At 42.9% G+C, this 19,931-nt stretch overlaps 1 protein-coding gene and 1 long non-coding RNA gene across 11 annotated transcripts in view, besides 1 other annotated feature; one reads left to right on the top strand and one right to left on the bottom strand.

The window, feature by feature from the left end:
- The window catches only part of ADGRF5 (adhesion G protein-coupled receptor F5), a 102,418-nt gene that overhangs the window by 17,289 nt on the left and 65,198 nt on the right, over positions 1-19,931 (top strand). For 5 of the 8 annotated variants that reach the window (XM_017010422.3, NM_001098518.2, XM_005248892.4 and 2 more), the window contains exon 1: positions 15,713-15,938. The exons of the other annotated variants lie outside the window; for them this stretch is intronic. The gene's annotated coding sequence lies outside the window, so the exon portion shown is untranslated. Of the gene's footprint in view, positions 1-15,712; positions 15,939-19,931 lie in introns of those variants that run through there. 8 annotated transcript variants of the gene reach the window in all.
- On the bottom strand, positions 486-15,572 carry LOC105375080 (uncharacterized). 3 transcript variants are annotated; one of them, XR_001744147.2, is made up of 3 exons: positions 15,216-15,572; positions 4,087-4,219; positions 486-1,262 (listed from the first exon to the last, which is right to left on the bottom strand). It is a non-coding gene; the product is annotated as an uncharacterized LOC105375080 (long non-coding RNA). The 3 variants fall into 3 exon arrangements; XR_007059919.1 differs by lacking the exon at positions 486-1,262 and adding an exon at positions 2,883-2,980; XR_007059920.1 differs by lacking the exons at positions 486-1,262; positions 15,216-15,572 and adding exons at positions 2,883-2,980; positions 5,747-5,786.
- Positions 10,076-11,275: an enhancer, noted in NCBI's record as "BRD4-independent group 4 enhancer chr6:46894113-46895312 (GRCh37/hg19 assembly coordinates)". NCBI's record gives its function as "activates an origin of replication core promoter dependent on BRD2, P300/CBP, MED14 and CDK7 cofactors, and independent of BRD4, by STARR-seq in HCT116 cells {active_cell/tissue: HCT116}" and the evidence as "EXISTENCE:reporter gene assay evidence [ECO:0000049][PMID:35650434]".

Below are 19,931 nucleotides of genomic sequence, written 5' to 3'. Positions count from 1 at the left end.
TAACTGTACCTAATTTATAAATTAAACTTTATCATAGGTATGCATGCATATAAAAAATGGTATATATGGGGTTTAGTACTATTGATGATTTCAGGCATCCACTGGGGGTCTTGGAATGTATCCCCCTCAGATAATCAGGGACCACTGTGTTGCCTTGCAACTAGAATGGTGACGAATGGTTGGGAGGACTGAGGTACACATTTTAAGGTAGGAGCCACAATTGACCTGAACTGCTCTGCTTACTAAAATAAGAAAATAAAAGATTTAGTAGAAAACCCAATGGCATGAAATCTGAGGCAGTGAGGGGCTGGGAAAACATGAGGTAAGTGTCATAAGGGGAATTTCAGTGACATGGGAGAAAGAGGGGCTTGATGCCACCCCATCAACACACACACACTCACACACACACACACACACACACACACACACTCCTTATTGCCTGTACCTTGCTTCATGTTCTTCATAGCATTTTTGCTCATCAGACATATAACTCATTTGTTTGTTTATTTTCTGTATTTCTGTATCAGTCAAGGTCCTGGCAGAAAAGAAGTGACATTCTCAAAGGGTAACAGAAGAGGTAAGAACAGTTAAGTCAACATAGAACCGACAGCATTGAGCAGCCATGGGTTGCCTCTCATTAAGTAAAAAGGGTCAAGAAGGGTGGGGAGGTAAGAGAGGTGTCAGAGGAACCTGCCAAGATCTGTGGCTATGGGAGAGGGGGATCCCCCAGGATCTGTGGCTAGAGGGCAGGAACACAACCACTGCCAAAACTGCAGCCTGGAAGGAGTTGGCGGGGAGAAAATGCCTAGCTCTCCAGTGCTTCCATACTACAACCTCCCGCTGGGATCTCCCACTCTCCCTACCTTCCATCACCCTCCCAGAGGACAAGGCACAGTAGAGTGCGGGGCTAGCCTCCTGGGGCACAGAAAAGGGCAAAGATGGACCTGGAGGGTAAACAGAGGCTAGCCAGCACCTCCCTCAACTAGAGTGCAGACTCCTAGGGGACAGTTGTTTTCATTACTTCTTATCCCCAGGGCCTAGAACAGTGTCTGGTGTGTAGATTTTCAATAAATGTTTGATGATGGAATGAATGCGTGCATGATTTGGAAAGAGAGAGATGTCGAAAGATTAAAGCAGTTTCCTAGCGTGTGTGACGTAAACTCACCTACTGCCACTATTATAGTATACAATTAGATTTACCCTTTCTCATAATGCTTTCACATGAAGGGATATTTCGAGGAAGGCAGGTTTGGCAGGCAGATCTGGAAGAAAAGATAGAGAAGATACAGTAAGGACCTCAGCACCATATGACCAACAGCGAAACCACAAAGTCTGAAGTTTAATGCTCTAGAATCTACAGGTGATACAGGCACGGGAGTGTTCAAGCCCCAGCCAGCCCCCATCCCAGGGAGGAAGGCCTTGGGCATGGGGCAGCTCTGGATTCCATCCTGACCAACTCAACCTCTCTGAGACTGATTTTCCTCATCTGTAAAATGGGGGTGAGGAGAGAATGCAGTGTTGTGAAGATTGAGCAGGACCCGACACACTGTGCCTAGGGTGGTGTAAACAGTAGGAGCCATAAGGATTGTTTCCGATGCAAGGCAAGTTTTCTAATTTTGAGATAGGTGTGGAAACTGCTGCAGTTGCTCTGCTTTCTGGGCTGGAGCCATTCATTCCGCATTCCTGATTAGGGAGAGGGTCAGGCGGTAATAGGACACCTCATTCCGGAGGACGCCTTCACCCCGTCCCCCTACAAGGCTTCCTGCTTCCTTCCTTCAGGGTCAAGTGGAGTCAAAGCTTGTTTTCCTTCTCACTCCAGGTCAGCATTACACAACACACTTGTTTTTTTCAGGTGACCCTGGAGGCTTGGAACTGCACTGACAGACATCTGTGCAGCCCTTCCTTCCTCTGGGTCAGGGAGATGTTTCCAGATGGAGTTGAATTCAGGAGCAGGAGAGGGACTTGGGGAAAAGGAGAAAGGCAACATTAGCTTCCCCTTGAGAAGCTGGGAAATGCCTTAGTGAATCGGATTCACGTGGCCTTCCTTTAATATGAGCTCTCTCTCCACTTTTATTTGATAGTGGCAAATTCTTCCTCTACCCTCCTTGGGTCTGTACCCCTAAAAGTACTGCTCTGAGATAAATTAGGCTAATGAAGAGAAAATGGGGAACCTCTGAATGAAGGTCTCCTGTGCTTGCATGAAGAGCCCACAAGAGACACTCTGGAATCCGTGACACCAGGGTGGAGTGGTGGGGGTTTCCCTCAAGTGCAGGCAACAAGGTGGTGCATTGTTCGTAGAGAATTTGAAATCAACAATAAAACTGACTAAATCATTTTTAAGGATTATCGGCTGGGCTCAGTGGCTCACGTCTGTAATCTCAGCACTTTGGGAGGCCGAGGCGGGTGGATCACGAGGTCAGGAGATCGAGACCATCCTGGCTAACACAGTGAAACCCTGTCTCTACTAAAGATACAAAAAATTAGCCGGGCCTTGTGGCACACGCCTGTAGTCCCAGCTACTCAGGAGGCTGAGGCAGGAGAATGGCTTGAACCCGGGAGGCGGAGGTTGCAGTGAGCCAAGATCACACTACTGCATTCCAGCCTGGGCAACAGAGCAAGACTCCGTCTCAAAAAAAAAAAAAAAAAAAAAAAGAACTATCACCATATGGTGGTGATCCCAAACAACATCAGTGATTAAGTATTTTTCCTAAAAAATCTATTGAAGGTCTAAGTTCTAAACAATTGCTACTATTACTGGTGAGTTTCAGTAATATAAGCTGCTAATTAATGTACTTTTATTTATTACCTTTTAATAAATAGTGTTCTACAGAGAAGGTAATTCAGAAAACTCTCATTTATATAGCAGCTCCTGACACAGAGGAACTCAGCTACATATGTTTGTTCCAAGAGTAAGTTTCTAAGGGTTTGGGACTGTTGAGTTTGCCTGAAGTCTCTCCAGCCTCTGCAGAATGACACATCCCTGCATTTGAACAGTAGATTAAAAACACACAATGTTAGCATGGTGTTTGTAAAGAAACTGAACATATGTAGCTTCAATTCTGTCATTATATGGGACCTTATAGAGTTTTTATTTTTGTTTAAAATTTAAAACAGTGAAGAGTGCAAACTTCAAGGCATACTATTATTATTTGGCACATACAAATTTGAGTTCACACTTAAACATTTCACTGAATTTTAGTAGTAGCATAAAGTAAAATGTTTTCTTTTTCAGTCAATTGCTTTAAATCAAAAGAATTAGTCAAGCAAATAAGGATTATTGCTGAAAATAATGGAGGGGAAAGTCAATAAAAGATCTGGTCCAAGTGTCAACTCTGCTAGATATCTCCATGGTCCAGAATTATGTGTGCTGGCTGCTCTCTAATTTTATGTATAGAAGTGTGAGTGTGTATGTGGCATAGGAGTGTGCATGCATGTGTGTGTATGTTTGTTTTTGAGAGAGAGAGAGAGACATTAGTGGATTCGGGTGACTCAGGGGCAAGAGGTCACTCATAAGATTGCCCATATTTAGTGAGAGCCCAGAAGGTTCAAATGAAGAGTCCCAGACAAAGATGTGCCGTAAGTATGTGCACACACTGCTGGGTAAAACACAAAGTCTAGATCTTAATGGCTTTCAACAAAATGGAAAAGTGAACAATTTGAGGAATTCCGGAAGAAACTAAAAATAGATGTGGTTTTCCCTCCCTTAATATTCCAGGTCAGATGAGGCAAAACCAAGGGCGATGGGTCTGGAATAATCGTGTAATTGTTGATATGTAGCTATGTTTTGTATACTGTGCTTCAGATCCAAAAATAGTTTAGTGGTCCTGAGAGGAAGACTCTGATAAATAGAAGGTGACGTAGTTATGAAAGGTCTTGAACTTGGAAATGTGGACCCCCTCATTGTGCTGAGATAGGCCATGGGAGCTGTGGAGGGCTGAGCAATTTCCCTGAGGCCCGACGACAATCTGTACAATGCTAGACCATTTTGAATTGCAGTAGCAGCCACTGTGAACACCTTTGTCTTCAATCTCTTACCCTTTAAATTCCTAAAATAGAAAGCTCAGGCTAGAAAGCAGAGCAACTCACCTTCATTAGTAGCAACCTGATCACCAGGCCAACTAGGTCGGTCCATCTCTCTGGGTTTGCCATTGTGGTATGAGACAGAGAAGACCAGTGAATAAAGAGGGTAACAAACCAATGACATATCCACAACTTGGACCTGGGGAGACAGAGAATTCAGTGGATTTAGGGGAAAGCCACTTGAAGTGAACAGCTAGTGCTTTTCTCCAGTATTAAAACAAGCAAGTTGTTTTGAACAGGAGTTACTTTACTGAGCGATATGTGTAGGACATGGAAATTATTTATCCTTGTATTTTCTTTAAAAACGATTCACTACAGGTAACATAAAAGTGGTGCTTTTGGGTACCAAGACCTTGCTAACTATCAAGTTAATATTTAGTTCCCCTAAGCTCACTCACGAGCTCTGTGGTTTTGCAGCATTCCACGTCTCTATGCTTTTAAGAGGCACATTCTTCCTTCTCCCCAAGGAGTTGAACTTCAGAAAGTTTGATTAATTTTCATATATGCTTCGTTTTCCATTCCCATCACTGCTGCCTCCAACTTTGTGCTTCTCCTCAGTGATCTTATTTTTGGCCATTTCTTGGCGCTGAGTTTCAGAGCCATTGTTGTTTTTCATAGACACTGGCGTCGGCCAGTCTTTTTTCAGATTTCTTTCTCAAGCAAACATTGTCATTGTGCATGACATATTATGTATTCTTGAAAGGGCATTTTAAAAAGAATACATCATCCCTCAAAGGAATTGAGAGGAGTCTTAGTATAGGGACACGATTATTAGGCATTAAACAGGAGCCCAGGAGCAATGACTCTGTAGGGAGGTGGGATGAATATTTGAGGGTGGTAATTTTCACCACACAGATGATTCATCTGGTTGACCAGAAGGTGATACTGATCTAGCGATGTCACCCTTCTATTGTAGGTCTTATAAATTATTGAGCATCTGTTTTGTACTGGGAATTTCTAGCTCTTCCTCAGAAATTACTTTCACTATGGTTAAGGTTGTGGCATGGGGGAGCTCTGTACCCCTATTAACAAACAAAGGGCTTCAGGGGGCATTAATGTGCACAGAAAACCCTTGTGTGGATATACTAGCAACCACAACCATGCTGTGACTTTTCTTTGGGGTATACTGGATTCCACTAACAGTATATATCCTACCAACTGAAAAAGAGATAAGAGGTAAAATCTGTCCTTGATTTAATTACTTATTTTAAAAGTACTAATTGAATACCTACTATGTTCCTTTTAACAGTTACCTAGCGTTTTAGTTTGTCTTTTCTTTTATAACCTTACCTCCACATTAGTCACTGCTAACTAATATTTTTTAAAACTAATGGTCAAAAAATATTTTTTAAATGATCAATTCTTGAGTGTTCAATTTGTTCTTTCTTAAATAGGTTCATGTACTGCACATGAATAAAATTCAGAGGGATCCAGAAACTTGCATGGTAAAAAATATGCCTACTAAATCACATTATGTTTTAACTGTATTTCAATATAATTATTTTCATTCGTTATCTTATATATTCTGTTTTGTGCATTTACAAACATTATTCTAAGAAGGCTTGCATAGCCTTCACCAAATGTACAAAGAGGTTTATGGCAAAAATTAAATTGATTCTGTTTTAGTCTTTTTGTTTTATTTTTATTTTTTGAGATGGAGTCTTACTTTGTCACCCAGGCTGGAGCGCAATGGCAAGATCTCAGCTCACTGCAACCTCTGCCTCCCAGGTTCAAGCGATTCTTCTGCCTCAGCCTCCCGAGTAGCTGGGATTACAGATGTTAGTCATTCTTTTAGTGACAGTCAGTGAGATGCAAACCCTCAGTCTTCATATGCCCAAAAATATTTTTATTTTGCCTTCATTCATGAAGGTTCTTTCAAGTGTGACACCAGATGAGGTCACCCTGGGAGAAAGCACAGGTGAAAGAGGACAGTGGGCCCCTGGGCCAAGCCTTAGGCACACCAACTTAAGGAGACCGAGAGGAGGGACTGCCAGGGCAGGAGGAGAGTGTCATAGAAGACACAAGAATATGTCTTGTGGTTTATAAGAAGGAAGAAGTGGCCAACTATGTCAAATGGTGCTACAGGGTCAAGGGAGATGAGAACAGCTAATTGACCATTGGTTATGGCAACCTGGAGACTGAGGGAGCTCCCTGAGAGCTGCTGTGATGCAGAAGTAGGGAGGGAAGATTGATTTGACTGACTTTGAGGCTGGAGAAGAAGGTTAAAGAGGTGGAGATGAGATCTAGGTATTTGGCTTTTTAGTGAAGAGCTGTGAAGGGCAACAGAAAAATGTTTCAGTAAATGAGGGGAAAGAGAAAGACGTAATGTCAAAGAGATACTCTATGTTTGTGTGCTGATGTTGCTGAGGAAGTAAGAGGGGACAGCACCCAGAGCCCAGTGGAAGAAGGGGCAGGCCTATCATCCTCTCAAACTGGAAAGAAGACCACAATGGGTAGTGCAGGTGCAAGAAGATTAGAAGTTTTTATGTAGGAAGATGAATGTTTATTATTTTTTTTCAAACAGCGTCTCCCTCTGTTGCCCAGCCTGGGGTGCAGTGGTGTGATCACAGCTCACTGCAGCCTTGACTTCCCAGGCTTAAGTGATCCTCCCACCTCAGCCTCCCTGGTAGCTAGGACTACAGGTGTGCACCACCATGTCTGGCTAATTTTTGTATTGTTTTGTAGAGATGGGGTCCTACCATGTTGCCCAGGCTGGTTTCAAACTCCTGGGCTCAAGGGATCCCCCTGCCTCAGCCTCCCAAACTGTTGGGATTACAGGCGTGAGCTGCCGCACCCAGCCAAATGTTTCATTTAATTGACTGTTTTCCAGTGAAATATGAGGCAAGGATACTGCTAAGACTGAGGAGAGAAGAGAAGGTGTGAAATGGCCATTTCAAGGAGTGAGAAAACTAACATAAATAATAGGATTGCCAGTTTATGTGGCTACAGCAATTCCACTGATAATTGGCAGAATGATTTTTACATGCAAGCTGCATGCCAGCCCATAAATAACTGCTCTCGGAAATACCATCCCCACACCATTTCCCACTTCTTTCTACCCTCATTGTCCTCCTGTTATCTCTACTGTCATCCGTGTTAAATCTTTAACTGCTGGTTTAAATTAGTTCACACTAATATGGAACTCACTGGAAATGGAAATGAACAATATGTAAACATTTCAAAGATACCTGAGTCAGAGTAGGGGCAGTTTCTTCACTTAAAGCAATTTGTCTCCAAAAGTGTAATTTTAGGAATGAGGTACAGATAAACAGGTTTTCCCGTTGCTTCCCAAATCCTGCTACAGAAGTGACAGTTTATACTTCTGATGTCACCTGGCATCTTATTTTTCATACTGTGGTGCCATTCGCTACACTTTTAATTAAAAACTGTATTCTAATATGTTAAAAAGAACCACTTAACATTCTTCCATGAAAGAATATAGGCCCTGGAGGCTGGGCGCGGTGGCTCACGCCTGTAATCCCAGCACTTTGGGAGGCTGAGGCGGGTGGATCACCTGAGGTCAGGAGTTCGAGACCAGCCTGGTCAACATAGTGAAACCCCATCTCCACTAAAAATACAAAAATTAGCTGGGCATGGTGGTGAGTGCCTGTAATCCCAGCTACTCGGTAGGCTGAGACAGGAGAATTGCTTGATCCCGGGAAGTGGAGGTTGCACTGACCCAAGATCGTGCTGCTGTGTCCAGCCTGGGCAACAAGAGTGAAACACTATCTCAAAAAATAACAATAATAAATAATAATAACAAAATAAAAATAATAAGAAGAATATAGGCCCTGGAAACATTGAGCTAATTTATTTAGAATGCCATTTCTTGCTCTAAGTCATGAGCCAGACATCATAAGGAAAAGCCAAACATCGTTAAACAAGTTTAACACAAGTTTCATATTGCCTCTTTCTCTGCTCAGAAATCACTACTTCATCTTAGACATTAGGTATATGGATAACTACCCCACCTGTACCTGTGAAATTGTCCCAATATAGGGGTAAGAGAAAGGGATATCTTTTTTTTTTTTTCATCTTTTTACTTTCTTTTTTTTATTTTTATTTTTATTTTATTATTATTATACTTTAAGTTTTAGGGTACATGTGCACAACGTGCAGGTTTGTTATGTATGTATACATGTGTCATGTTGGTGTGCTACACCCATTAACTCGTAATTTAGCATTAGGTATATCTCCTAATGCTATCCCTCCCCTCTCCCCCGACCCCACAACAGTCCCCGGTGTGTGATGTTCCCCTTCCTGTGTCCATGTGTTCTCATTGTTCAATTCTCACCTATGAGTGAGAACATGAGGTGTTTGGTTTTTTGTCCTTGCGATAGTTTGCTGAGAATGACCGTTTCCAGCTTCATCCATGTCCCTACAAAGGACATGAACTCATCCTTTTTTATGGCTGCATAGTATTCCATGGTGTATATGTGCCACATTTTCTTAATCCAGTCTATCATTGTTGGACATTTGGGTTGGTTCCAAGTCTTTGCTATTGTGAATAGTGCCGCAATAAACTTACGTGTGCATGTGTCTTTATAGCAGCATGATTTATAATACTTTGGGTATATACCCAGTAATGGGATGGCTGGGTCAAATGGTATTTCTAGTTCTAGATCCCTGAGGAATCGCCACACTGACATCCACAATGGTTGAACTAGTTTACAGTCCCAGCAACAGTGTAAAAGTGTTCCTATTTCTCCACATCCTCTCCAGCACCTGTTGTTTCCTGACTTTTTAATGATTGCCATTCTAACTGGTGTGAGATGGTATCTCATTGTGGTTTTGATTTGCATTTCTCTGATGGCCAGTGATGGTGAGCATTTTAGTCCTCCTTGGGAAGAAACCGTCTTTAGAAAAATAGTGTGATAGGCACCTAGAAAGCAATTGAGACTCAGACCTCTAAGAGAGTAGAGGGCCTCATGCATAAAGTGAGGGGTGGAATATGTTTGTTATCCCCATAGATAGAGGAGCCAATGAGAGAAGAGTGGAGATTACAGGGAAGAAGGGAAGAGAGGTCAGCAAGATGGTGGGAAGCTGGCACTAGAGAAGGTGGGAGTCTATGGAGCGCTCAGTGAAGAGGTGGTCAGAATATCCCAATAAAATAGTAACATCCACCCTTCCAGTCACAACTTGGTTATTTTTCTGGTTGTAAATATGACTTTAGTCACTCCTTTACCCCCAAACTTTAGGTTCACATTTACTGGGTGTGTGGTGAAATTCAAAAAAGGGGCTGTTTTTCTTTTGCACCAACCTAGAGCCACACAGACACAACATACTAGGAATGTGGCAGTTCTATGGGTTGACCAGGCCAGGAGAATATAAACATCCTTAGGAATTCCCAGGCACCCTGAGGTGGGCTCTGAACTTCCACAAGCTGGAGAAAAGCAATTTTATCTAGAATTTTGATAGACCAGGATTCACAGCAGGCATTTGGGTTATGCTTCGTCTGGAACCCAATCTGACTTGGGTCAGTTATTCTGTCCCCTCAAATGTTCCTGTGGTTGTCACCCCACTTTTCAGTATTTCCCTGGTTAGAGTCAGGTAAGAATCAAATTGAAGCATTTTAGCCAGAGCATAGCCTATGCGTCTGTCTCAAGAGGGCAATACAGCTATTTGGCATGATGTGAGCTTAATTCTAGCCTGGGGAAGTACAACGTGGAGAAACTTCTGCAATAAAGCTTGCTTGTTGACTTGTTGATGGCAAAGCTTTGTTTGTGGGTGTTGTCTGAGAAGGAGGTTTCAGGCCTTTATCGCCTATTATGATGCTGTTCTGAGTACTCTATGAAAGCTGGTACCTAGGTAAGTGGGTGGGACTTGGGGGTTGTGGATGGAAAAGAGACTGCCTAACTGGTGCTGGTCTACTTCTGTGATAATGATGTTAACAAGGAAATTCTGTTGCTGGCTTGCGTCAGATGTGTTATCTGGATTTAATAAATAAAGAGAGGATAAATGTTGACAGAGTTTTTATTCTTCTCGTCAGTACAGAGGTGTAACAGGAGTTTACCTCTATGTGTCCTTATTCTACTTACAACCATTATTTCTCCTACCAGAAAATTGGGGATGGGAATGCATGTGTTGGTGGGGGCTGGGGGTTCACCAGAGCATAAGGTAACAGCACGGGATGCAGAGACACAAGATCTGAATTCTAAGTCTGGCTCTGACACTAACGCTGCTTGTGACCTTGGTTAAGCCTTTCAACTTTAATACTAAATAGTTGGAACAAATGATCACTAGCTCTGCCCACCCCCCTCCACCCACCCCCGCCGCCCTTTGCTCTAACATTTTTTTATTCTGATTTTCTCCTGGCATGGATGACTCTTCAGTACATATTTGTCTAGTGGTTTTGGCATTATGACTGTTCACTAATCGCCTTGATAAATTCTGAGGAAATTATCTCTACAATCAGAGGTAAAAATGAGGGAAACTTTTTTGGGAGTCAAAGGAAATGTTGAAGCACTGAAAATAGCATAGAATGATGGAATTTGGATGGGAGATGGTATTGTGAGGACAGGGCTTTGCAGTCCCAAACCAGGATTCTGCCTGATGTTTGCAGATCAGCCTCGCTGTTACTGCAGTATATGGTATCCGCCATTGGAGAGTGCCCGCACCCAGGATGTACGTAAAGAAGTAGAGGTTAAAACAGGAGTGACTGCCCAGTGTTCATGGACAAAATGACATGTGTACATTGAGAGGAAAAGTGTAGCTTCCTTCTAAATAGATTCCCTCCTAGGCCAAGACAAGAAGGAATGCCATGTCCTCAAATACCTGCTCTTCTCCATGGGACTGGGTTGGAGGGGACTGAGGGAGGAAGAGTCAATGACAAGTCGATGATTCTGAAATTATGTGCATCACAGCTGAGGCATGTGGGTGACGTATTTCATACCATGGGCATCAGAAGTGACTTCCTGCTACATAGACAGCATGTCATCTCTAAGAGCTGAAAGTGGAATGTGAAGGCTGTGGACGGCTCACAGGCCATTGGTGGTCAGCGCTCCCCGAGGATAGATCAATAAGGGTCAAGAAAGAAGTGTGGATGACACCTCAACGAACCATACCTCAAATCTGCACTGCCCCCCCCCTCACCCGAGATGCTGTCTCTCCCTCTTCTAGGAGATGGCAGAGGGGGTAGTGCTAAGAGTAGAATCCAGAAAAGGGTCCTACTTGGAGGGTGACTTGGATTTCTGGCAGAAGCTGGGGCATCACTGGAGTCATAACAAGTGCTGGAAGGGAGCTGTCAACTGTGTCCAGTTGGCTCAAAAAATGGAAGCTTTGCAATCTTCCAGGGCAAAACAACATCAATGTCTGAGAGAAGCATACACAAAGAAGGTGTAATAACACTGTCTATTGGTGGAATGGGTGCAGTAGCAGTAAGTGCAAACAAAATCTGAGTGGCTGCAGCTAAGCACAGATATGACCAATTCCATTAGTGGAGGCTCTGCCAAAATATACACACCCAAGATAAGAATAAGACCATTTGTATACTATGAAACTGCCCGATTATTTGCCAGTTCCTTCCTTGTATAAGGACAGATCAGTGCCAAAGGAGAATTTTCTTGGCCTCAATATAGAAATACCAAAAGAGAGCTGACCTTGGGTCAAAAGGGTTACCAACGTCTGGTTATGGCTTAAAAAATAAAAGAAAATAAAAAAAAGCAGGGCTTACCCTGCCAAGATATGAAGGTAGGAGAATTTCACAAGTTGAACTATTATGTACTTTAGCTATGCTGGCCAGGGCTGTGGCGTTAATAATTTTGCTTGTGTGTTACACTTTCAAATATTCCTCTGCAATGAGTCAGTTAAGCAGGCAACAGAGTTTTGCTGTTGTCACTCAGGCTGGAATGCAATGGCGCAATCTTGGCTCACAGCAACCTCTGCCTCTCAGGTTCAAGCAATTCTCCTTCCTCAGCCTCCTGAGTAGCTGGGATTACAGGCACCTGCCAACACGCCCTGCTAATTTTTGTATTTTTTAGTAGAGACAGGGTTTCGCCATGTTGGCCAGCTGGTTTCGAACTCCTGACCTCAAGTAATCCACCTGTCTTGGCCTCCCAAAGTGCTGGGATTACAGGCATGAGCCACTGCACTCGACTTAGGAGCTTACCTTCTAGTCCAGGGATGCAAGGTGGAGACTCCAGCAAAATTTAAAAGTGTATTATAGTGTACCAGAGATGATATGGAAAACTAAAGCAAGTAGGGGGGATGTGGAGTGATGAAATGTAAGATATGGCTGTCAATGAAGGCCTCACTAAGAAAGCAATGTTAGGGCAAAAGTGAGAATGAGGTGATGGAGTGAGTCTTGAGGAAATCTGTGCAAAGAGCATCCCTGGCAGGCAGAGAGAACAGCAAGTGTGAAGACCCTGAAATGCAAGACTGCCTGGTCTGCAAGGAGGCCAGTGTGCCTGGAGCAACATGAATGATGGGGAGAGAAGGTGGTGCAGATCATGAAGGTCTCACTGGCTGTTGAAAAGACCTGTGCTCTGACTACGGGAGATGAGTTGAGCACGTGTGGACTTTATATAACTTGTATTTTATAAGGACCATTTTAACTGCAGTCTTCAGAACAGACTATAAGTGACAAGAGGAGATGCACAGAGACAGATAAGACACTGGTGATTATCCAGTCAAGAGATAGTGATGGCTTGGATGAGAATGATAGCAGCAGAAGGGGAAGAAGTGCCAGACTATGCATATATTTTGAAAATAGAGCTAACAAGATTTGATGACAAATTAAATGTAAAGTGTGCAAGGTAGGACTCAAGGATAACTCTTAGGGTTTTGATCTGGGTAACTGGAAGGATGGAGATGCCCTTTGCTAATATGGGAGAGACTGATGGTATAGCTAGTTTGGGAGGGATGATCAGGAGTTTAGTTTGGGACATGTTCTGTTTGAGGGCCTATTGAACAACTGAAAGGAGATATCAAGTAAGCAGTTGAATACGTGGGTCAGGAATTCAGGTGAGAGGTCTATGATAGAGATAGACATTTGGAAGTCATCAGCACAAAGATTTAAGCCAAAACTAGTAGAGATCACCTGGGAAATAAGTGTCAACAGAGAAGGGTTTCAAAGACTGAGCTATGAGACACTCTTACGTTAAGAGGAAGAACCAGCAATGGAAAATGAAATGCAGAGTTTAATTTTGCTTGCTTTTATTGATAACCCATTATATACCAGCACTGTAATACGAGCTGGGCATAACATAAATAAGACTAGTGCCTGCCTTCAAGGTGCTTACAGTCAATGCATTAGATGGATTGTTTGAATGCAGTGTGGTAACTTCAAAAAGACATGCATCTGGCAGTGTGGGATCAGGGAGAAGAAATACTTGGCTCAGGCTGGGAGAAATAGGAGGGTCCTTGGAAGAAATAACACCTGGAACTTAAAAAGAGACTAAACGTTACCTGTGTGAAGAAAGGAGAAGGGCAGAGTGAAAGAAGGGCAGAAGTGAAACAGCTGGGAACATGCTGGAAAATATGTATTTATTTGGTGCTGAAATTTCTTCCTGAGAAAGTAGGAGCTTTGTCTCTAATGAGACTGTACCTTACAGCCATGAGAGACATTTCATATTAACAAAGTGATAACATGACTGGTAAATTATTCTCTCTACGTTTGCAGTTGGGTTCAAGAAATTTGGGTTCAGCCACCAACACCAACGTTTTAGAATTCAAGAAAACGGCTGCTGTGACAGTCAATTCCAGCCGTAGCTACGACAGGGCAGGGTCTCTCCATCCACAGTTCATTCTGGGTTGCCGCTGAGGCCATATGGTGGTTGCATTTTTTATTTGCTTTTGTTTTCATTGTAATGTGTGTGCAGCAAGCACATAGTGTTCCTAACAACAAGCAGGGAACTGTGGGCGAGAAGAATTGCTCCTCAGGGAAGGAAAGGGACAGCCACTTTGACAACGCCCATTCCATGTTAGACAGCCTGCTGCACCCAACAACCAAAATACGAGCAGGAAAAAAGGCAGCATTTGCCCAGGAACTGCATCCCTCAGCAGGCTCTTTTTAAGTTAGGGTGTATCCAATCTAACGTGTAGACTACAGTTGAGAATCATTATCTAGAAGTGGAATAATAACATTTTGGAGTTCATCCTCTTCTTGCCCAAATACTCTGGTCTCAAGCCTAAGTCCTGCTGGTGGTTGCTGACTTGCTACAGGCTGATAGCATGACAAGAAGGGAAGGCAGCTGGAGGGGAGAGAGGATGAACTTGGAGGCATTGGAGCCCAGGGCTCCAGAGAACAACAAACAGTTACTAAACTCTTCCTCTTCAGTTTCAGCAGAGTCTATAAACTCAGTACTATTATTATCCCACTTTCACACACAATAAAACTGAATCTCAGGGCCAGGAGCAGTGGCTCACGCCTGTAATCCCAGCACTTTGGGAGGCCGAGGCTGGGGATTACCTGAGGTCAGGAGTTTGAGACCAGCCTGGCCAACATGGAGAGACCCTGTCTCTATTAAAAATACAAAAATTAGCCAGATGTGCTGGTAGGCACCTACAGTCCCAGCTACTGGGAAAGCTGAGGCAGGAGAATCGCTTGAACCCAGGAGGCAGAGGTTGCAGTGAGCCAAGATCGCGCCACTGGACTCTAGCCTGGGAGACAGAGCGAGACTCCGTCTAAAAACAAAACAACACTGAATCTCAATAGGGTCAAGTAATGTGTACCCGGCCACATATAATTGGTGGGACTAAAGCATCAGTTCCTACAGTCTGACTCCAGAGTCCTTTCTTTGACACTATGAGGAATTCCCTGAAGATACTCTTGGGACTACCTGCATGGGACTCACCCGAAGCACTTATTTCCAATGCCGATTCCAAGCCAGGCCTCATTCATCAAACTTTCTGTGGGCAGAGCTCCAGAGTAGAGAGTCAAACAGCATTCCCCATCCGTGTTCTGACCTTGGGAAGGGTTCTCCTTGGGCCTCAGTTTCCTCTTTTGTAAAATGAGGATCAGTGAGGTCACTTCCAGTTCAAAAATGAGCTGACTATAATTCATCTTTAAACCCAGCAACCTGGATGCAGCCTGCCAACCAGGCCTTTACCATATATCTCCTTATCTTTAAATATCCATGCTATTGAGCGGTATTTTAAGTACCACTAAATTTATAGTTTGATACACAAATACTCACAGAGTTTCCCTGGAAACCTAGGAGAACTGGACGTCCCTCCAATATGGCATTTTTGAGGTACAGCCCTCCCGCGGGGGAGGACTAAGCAACTTCTCTAGGTCTCTTCTCTTCTGCGGATTCTTTTTTTCTCTGCTTTCTTGGCACTGCTAAAGACAAAGAATTCATCGATAGTCTTAATTTTCCTTCCTCTCTGAAGTTACAATCTAATTTAGTGGTCATCTTTTAAAAGTTGAAACCAGACATCCTGTACTTCTCATTAGCTCTAACCTATGTTTGGTTTGCTCTGGTTTTGCTTTTCTGATTTTTTTCTTTGGAGAAAGAAAAGTGAGAACTAGGGGCATTGGCCAAACAAGTCTGTCCACTTGGTGGAGAGGTTTCCAGATAAGAAGGATCTGAAGGACTTCCCATGGGCGTGAGGGAAATCGCACACGCCATCCGGGGAAGAGGACCAGGAAATCACTTTTTGTTTTTAAAACAGCAGCGCGGCTCTCAGGGATGACTCTGTGAGACTGGGAGGATCATAGCTGGGGGAGGCTGAGCGTGGGAGCGGTGCTGCCAGTCCTGCCTGAAAACGCGAAATGAGTCTTGCTTGGTTCTCCCTCCACTGGGCGTGAGAGCCCCTGCCCAGGAGGCCCAGGACAAATGGCCCCATAGTGGAAACTGGGAAGCTTTTAGGCATCTGATCAGAGCGGGAGCCAGCCGGGGGACCACAGTGCTGGACAGGTAACAGACATTTCTCCTACTGCGGTCTGTCATTCTGTCTCCCTTTGTAGCAAGACCTCAGGGGCTCCTAAGTCACTTCTCTTAAGACATCTTCCACTTACGATCCTCTTTGCCTGCTTTTCTTTTGCGTAGGTGTGATATGTATGTTGGGAAAGTTAAGTATGTCCAGTCAAGAGCATTGTGCATACTGTTGGTCCAGTTAATGAGACTATATTAAAGGAGATGGCGTATCAAGCAACTAGCTGGGATCCTTTAGGATTTTCTTAATAACAGACTTTTTTTTTTTCAAACAAGTTCTCTCGTCCTTAAACCAGAAAATACTATAAAAACCAGTGCATTCATGAGCTACTGAGCTGCTGCTCTTGCCAAGAGCATTTCAGGGCCAGTCGGCCATTGCTGTGGTCAGGCTGAGGAAGGAAGAGGCTGCATCCCAGTAGCAGGAGGAGGGAGCCCTGGCTATTCGCTCAGCTTCGGGAGAGTCCTTCCAAAGGACAAGGGATGACCTTAGAAATGTAAAATGTAGGCTGCAGCCTCCCACACAGGACTGAGGGGAAAGGAGTTTGTAGTCAGCATTAGGAAGGAGGTCAGTAAAAGTGCTGGGGCTTCAGGGCCAGGCCGACTTGTTTTGAAAGGAGCAACTCTATGATGTGCGGTTTGCTTAAACCATGTTTTCTCATATTTCAGAAAGCCAGGTCATGCCACTTCACTACAGCATTTTTTCTTTCATAAAGGGCTAACGTAGTTGGTTTTTCAATGTAGGTTATTTTTGAATTACACAGATAATACTTGACTATATTCTTATCGTAAAAGAATATCTCTAAATAGATTTTATTTTTATTTTTATTTTTTTGAGATGGAGTCTTGCTCTGTCGCCCAGGTTGGAGTGCAGTGGCACGATCTTGGTTCACTACAACCTCTGCCTCCCGGGTTCAAACGATCCTCCTGCCTCAACCTCCCAAGCAGCTGGGATTACAGGCACCCGCCACCACACCCTGCTAATTTTTGTATTTTTAGTAGAGATGGGGTTTCACCATGTTAGCCAGGTTGGTCTCGAACTCCTGACCTCAGGTGATCCACCTGCCTCGGCCTCCCAAAATGCTGGAATTACGGGTGTCAGCCATCGCAGCCAGCTTTCTGTTAACAGTTTTCAATTGCACCCCCAATATACACTCTCTTCCCCCCCCCCAAATATTATTCTATCAATTGTTTTCTGTGTTACCAGTTAAAGGCTTTATTTTCTGTTCTTCTGAGCTCTATAGGACAAGCCGGGGCACAGGAGTACAATAAATTCTCATTGTCAAGTTCTTGTGATTTATCCTAAACTCCTTCCTCTCAGTGAAAGATAAAATGATACATGGGAAACATGAATAGCTCTTTTAACTCTTAGAAAAGTATAAAGAGTTTTACTCATTTTTACCATTACTATTTTGTGTTGGTTTTGGCTTTGACAATTAATAATATTAGTAACAACCTCCTAAGGATTAAATTCTAGATTTGCCAATTAGTGGTTTGGGCTTTTCCCTTGAAGGGCATCAGAAGTTTCTTATTCTAGAAATGAAAGGGGAGAAGATAAAATAACAGGAAATTAACTAGATAGATAATAGCTAGATTGATAGATAAAGTGGCCCAGAGAACGTAGAGTGAAGACAGGAGAGATTGCCCTTTTATTCAGTGGATAATAAATGCATTTAACAGATCGGTTCATTTTCCATCTCTTTTAGTCTTCTGTAAAAAGGTGGCCTTCCCCTCCCCACCAACAATGTTAAGAGACAAGCAAATAAGGAAAACATCACTATGAACAAGTTAATACAGCTTATGGAGAGAGCCTTTGGGAAAAAGGTATAAATAAGCAGTATCAAACCCAAGAATAATACGAACACTTTCAATAGCTATTTCATATTTTCTTGTTCTTTACAGGGTTTCTCCACCCCAAACTATAGAGCCACTAGGCCTTGCTGATTTTGGACGTTCTGTAAAATTTGCCTGCCTTTGTCCCTTCTCCAGATCTCTGGCTACTCCGATGAATCATTTCTTCCAAGTGCACAGTGTTAGCCACATGAGAGACCTCCACTGAGGCCCTGTAGACTAACACTGCCTCACTTACTGAGTGTGGGTTTATTGACTATGATATAGTAACCTCACTTACTGCGCTATGGGGTACTTGGGGGCATTTTGGAGCAGTTAAAAATATCCCATGGGGTCCCACCTCCTCACGTTAATGAGGCTAATCTGTCTCCTCCTAAATATTATGCATTCAATCTCTTGTATTTATATGCAACTTTTTAGTTATCAAAAGACTTTTATGCCTCTTCTTTCACCATGTCACAGGTAAAGCAGGTAACTTATTCTCATCTAATGGAATACAAAAACAGGAAGTTCAGAGGTTAATTTATTTGCCTCAATGGCACAATGAATTTTTTTGGAGGACTGAGATGAGAAGAAACTCAGATTACTGTCTTTGCAGCCCCATTTTTTTTATGTCAGTACTATGAGGATAAAAGTCATGTGGAATAGAGAATTGATGCGATTGGCTGGATTCTGTCAGCTTTGTAGCCACATGGTAGATGTTTGCTGGGAATCTAAAGTTAGACTAAACTATTGCTTTGTCCAGATATTAGCAAGTTCTATCACCTGCTGTCCATCGGCGTCACCCTAGGAACTTAACAAAGAGAAAACAATGTCTAGACACTTTGCCAGAGAAACTGAATCACTATCTCTGAGGATGGGGCCAGGGCATGGTTAGATTTTTTGTTTGTTTGTTGTTTTTAATCTCCAAAGTGATTCTATAATGCAGCTGGGGTTGAGATTCACTGAGTCTTGGCTGTGTAAGATACAGTGGCTAAACTGAGAAGCAGAAGCAATGGCTGTTTATGAAGCCAAGAAATTAGGACCAAAAGTGTCAGCAGCAGTGCAGATCATTAGAATTCTGGCTGCTGCTGTCTTTCGGAGGAACAGACACATCTGCACATCAGAATGAAGAGGAGATTTCCGACACCTCCAACAATGGCATTGACTTTCCAGTTTTAATTGGAACAACCCCACTGACTTCACTGTAGATATGTTGGCTCCCTAAGACTTGCAGATTTTACAAAGGCAGATTAAATGTTCTAGATAAACAGGATGTGCTCTTCTAATGCCAGATGACTATCAGATCATACTTTTTATTCAAGGTCACTTTGCCATGTTGTGTCCCAATCCCAAGAGAAAGGGGAAAAAAAGAAATACTGATTATCCTTTGCATGAGCTGCCACTTTCTGGGTTGAACTAAATATGAATAGATGATAAGTCATGGATGTTTTTTAATTATAACGTTTCCCTACAGCCTTTTCCCCACTGACATTTCTTGATATAGTTCAAGTTAGTATCTCTCGTCAGTGCAATGTTTGTCTCCTTGATAGAGAGGACTACCGGGCCTGTTCAGTATTTATCTCAGTTTCCCCAGGACCTACGAGTTTCTGCACAGAGTAGGTGCTCTAATAAGGATGGTTGAGTTAAATATACATATTAGCTAAGGGCACACCATGATTCACAAGTTACTTACCAGCTCAACATTTCAAATCACATGGTGTGACTCTGGTCATGATGGTTAAAATAACTGGAATCTTCCCGGCTTCCTAAAAGGTAATCGCCAACGTGAAATCTTTAAAATTACAGCCTAGTAGAATCACCTACTCTGGAGTGACTTGCTAAGTGCTGTGGAATTGCAAAGGCAAAGAACCTTTCTCTTAATCAGCTCAGACTCTTAGTGGAAAGCAAGTTACAGGCATTGAGAATTTTAATAACAAACAATTTTTTTGATTGAATTTGTTTTAATTATTATACTTGAAGTTCTGGGGTACATGTGCACAAGGTGCAGGTTTGTTACATAGGTATACATGTGCCATGTTTGTTTGCTGTGCCCATCAATTCCTCATTTACATTAGGTATTTCTAAGAGAAAACCAAACACTGCATGTTCTCACTCATAAGTGGGAGTTGAACAATGAGAACACAT

Source organism: Homo sapiens, chromosome 6 (assembly GCF_000001405.40).
Source record: "Homo sapiens chromosome 6, GRCh38.p14 Primary Assembly".
Classification (NCBI taxonomy): Eukaryota; Metazoa; Chordata; class Mammalia; order Primates; family Hominidae; genus Homo; species Homo sapiens.
The sequence above is the reverse complement of the archived record's forward strand: the minus strand, read 5'-3'. Positions and strand labels throughout refer to the sequence as shown.